Raw genomic sequence first — 2,909 nt, 5'->3', positions numbered from 1 at the left:
GTCTGTGTCTTTTAATTGGAGCATTTAGTCCATTTACATTTAAAGTTAATATTGTTATGTGTGAATTTGATCCTGTCATTATGATGCTAGCTGGTGATTTTGCTCATTAGTTGATGCAGTTTCTTCCTAGTCTCGATGGTCTTTACATTTTGGCATGATTTTGCAGTGGCTGGTACCGGTTGTTCCTTTCCATGTTTAGCGTTTCCTTCAGGAGCTCTTTTAGGGCAGGCCTGGTGGTGACAAAATCTCTCAGCATTTGCTTGTCTGTAAAGTATTTTATTTCTCCTTCACTTATGAAGCTTAGTTTGGCTGGATATGAAATTCTGGGTTGAAAATTCTTTTCTTTAAGAATGTTGAATATTGGCCCCCACTCTCTTCTGGCTTGTAGGGTTTCTGCCAAGAGATCTGCTGTTAGTCTGATGGGCTTCCCTTTGTGGGTAACCCGACCTTTCTCTCTGGCTGCCCTTAACATTTTTTCCTTCATTTCAACTTTGGTGAATCTGACAATTATGTGTCTTGGAGTTGCTCTTCTCGAGGAGTATCTTTGTGGCGTTCTCTGTATTTCCTGAATCTGAACGTTGGCCTGCCTTGCTAGATTGGGGAATTTCTCCCGGATAATATCCTGCAGAGTGTTTTCCAACTTGGTTCCATTCTCCCCATCACTTTCAGGTACACCAATCAGACGTAGATTTGGTCTTTTCACATAGTCCCATATTTCTTGCAGGCTTTGCTCATTTCTTTTTATTCTTTTTTCTCTAAACTTCCCTTCTCGCTTCATTTCATTCATTTCATCTTCCATTGCTGATACCCTTTCTTCCAGTTGATTGCATCAGCTCCTCAGGCTTCTGCATTCTTCACGTAGTTCTCAAGCCTTGGTTTTCAGCTCCATCAGCTCCTTTAAGCACTTCTCTGTATTGGTTATTCTAGTTATATATTCTTCTAAATTTTTTTCAAAGTTTTCAACTTCTTTGCCTTTGGTTCGAATGTCCTCCCATAGCTCAGAGTAATTTGATCGTCTGAAGCCTTCTTCTCTCAGCTCGTCAAAGTCATTCTCCATCCAGCTTTGTTCCATTGCTGGTGAGGAACTGCGTTCCTTTGGAGGAGGAGAGGCGCTCTGCTGTTTAGAGTTTCCAGTTTTTCTGTTCTGTTTTTTCCCCATCTTTGTGGATTTATCTACTTTTGGTCTTTGATGATGATGATGTACAGATGGGTTTTTGGTGTGGATGTCCTTTCTGTTTGTTAGTTTTCCTTCTAACAGACAGGACCCTCAGCTGCAGGTCTGTTGGAATACCCTGCCATGTGAGGTGTCGGTGTGCCCCTGCTGGGGGGTGCCTCCCAGTTAGGCTGCTCGGGGGTCAGGTGTCAGGGAACCACTTGAGGAGACAGTCTGCCCGTTCTCAGATCTCCAGCTGCATGCTGGGAGAACCACTGCTCTCTTCAAAGCTGTCAGACGGGGACATTTAAGTCTGCAGGGTTACTGCTGTCTTTTTGTTTGTCTGTGCCCTGCCCCCAGAGGTGGAGCCTACAGAGGCAGGCAGGCCTCCTTGAGCTGTGGTGGGCTCCACCCAGTTCCAGCTTCCCGGCTGCTTTGCTTACCTAAGCAAGCCTGGGCAATGGCAGGTGCCCCTCCCCCAGCCTCGCTGCCGCCTTGCAGTTTGATCTCAGACTGCTGTGCTAGCAATCAGCGAGACTCCATGGGCGTAGGACCCTCCGAGCCAGGTGTGGGATATAATCTCGTGGTGCGCCGTTTTTTTAAGCCGGTCGGAAAAGCGCAGTATTCGGGTGGGAGTGACCCGATTTTCCAGGTGCGTCCATCACCCCTTTCTTTGACTGGGAAAGGGAACTCCCTGAACCCTTGCTATTCCCAAGTGAGGCAATGCCTCGCCCTGCTTCGGCTCGCGCACGGTGCATGCACCCACTGACCTGCACCCACTGTCTGGCACTCCCTAGTGAGATGAACCTGGTACCTCAGATGGAAATGCAGAAATCACCCATCTTCTGCGTCGCTCACGCTGGGAGCTGTAGACCCGAGCTGTTCCTATTCAGCCATCTTGGCTCCTCCCTCCAGACACAAGTCTTTAAAATGCTGATCAGAGCATTGAAAACTGAAACAGACACAATACCGACCTCCTGTGGTAGACTGACTCATGGTCCCACAGATGTCCATCCACATCCTAAACCCCAGAACCTATTACCTTACATGGTTCAAAGGATTTTGCAGCTGTGACTAAGCTATGGACCTTAAAATGGAGAGATTACCCTAGATTATCCAGGTGGGTTTGGTGTAATCACAAGGGTCCTCCTGGGAGGGAAGTGAGAGGATCAGAGTCAGAAGAGGGAGGTGGAGAGACAGAAGCAGTGGCTGGAGTGATGTGCTTTGAAGATGGAGAAGGCACCATGATCCAAGGAACGCAGTTGGCTCCCAGAAATAGAGGAGCGCAAAGAAACGCTCTCCTCTTGAGCCTCCAGAAGGAAGGTGGCCTTCCTGATCCTTTGATTTTTAGCCCTCTGACTAAAAATTTCAGACTTCTGACTTCCAGAATTGTAAGATCATAAATGTGTGTTGTTTTAAGCCATGAAGTCTGTGGTAATTTGTTACAGCAGCCATAGGAAATTACTGTACTTTCCATTCCCTAACACATATTCTTCCTAACACATATTCTTCCCTAACACATATTCTCCCTCTGCCCAAACTCTCTTCTCTCTTTCTAACCAGTCATGTCTCCACCTAATGTTTTGTAACCAGGCTCTTCAGACCAAGAGCAGCGTTTTTGCTTAAAATATTGACTTCAATTCTGTGATGGGGGATCAAGCAAGAACAGGCAAGGAATCCACATTTTGCAATGGGCTCCCATCCCTCCTTCTTATTGTTACCTCTAGTACTGCTCAGCATTCTCTTTGTTCCCCCT

At 46.6% G+C, this 2,909-nt stretch overlaps 2 annotated features.

Annotated features, from left to right (window-relative positions):
• Positions 1,194 to 1,694: an enhancer, noted in NCBI's record as "H3K4me1 hESC enhancer chr9:103453367-103453867 (GRCh37/hg19 assembly coordinates)". NCBI's record gives its function as "activates a minimal SCP1, AML or CMV promoter by ChIP-STARR-seq in naive H9 embryonic stem cells {active_cell/tissue: H9 hESC(naive)}" and the evidence as "EXISTENCE:reporter gene assay evidence [ECO:0000049][PMID:30033119]".
• Positions 1,695 to 2,195: an enhancer, noted in NCBI's record as "H3K4me1 hESC enhancer chr9:103452866-103453366 (GRCh37/hg19 assembly coordinates)". NCBI's record gives its function as "activates a minimal SCP1, AML or CMV promoter by ChIP-STARR-seq in naive H9 embryonic stem cells {active_cell/tissue: H9 hESC(naive)}" and the evidence as "EXISTENCE:reporter gene assay evidence [ECO:0000049][PMID:30033119]".

Source organism: Homo sapiens, chromosome 9, assembly GCF_000001405.40.
Source record: "Homo sapiens chromosome 9, GRCh38.p14 Primary Assembly".
Taxonomy (NCBI): domain Eukaryota; kingdom Metazoa; phylum Chordata; class Mammalia; order Primates; family Hominidae; genus Homo; species Homo sapiens.
The sequence above is the reverse complement of the archived record's forward strand: the minus strand, read 5'-3'. Positions and strand labels throughout refer to the sequence as shown.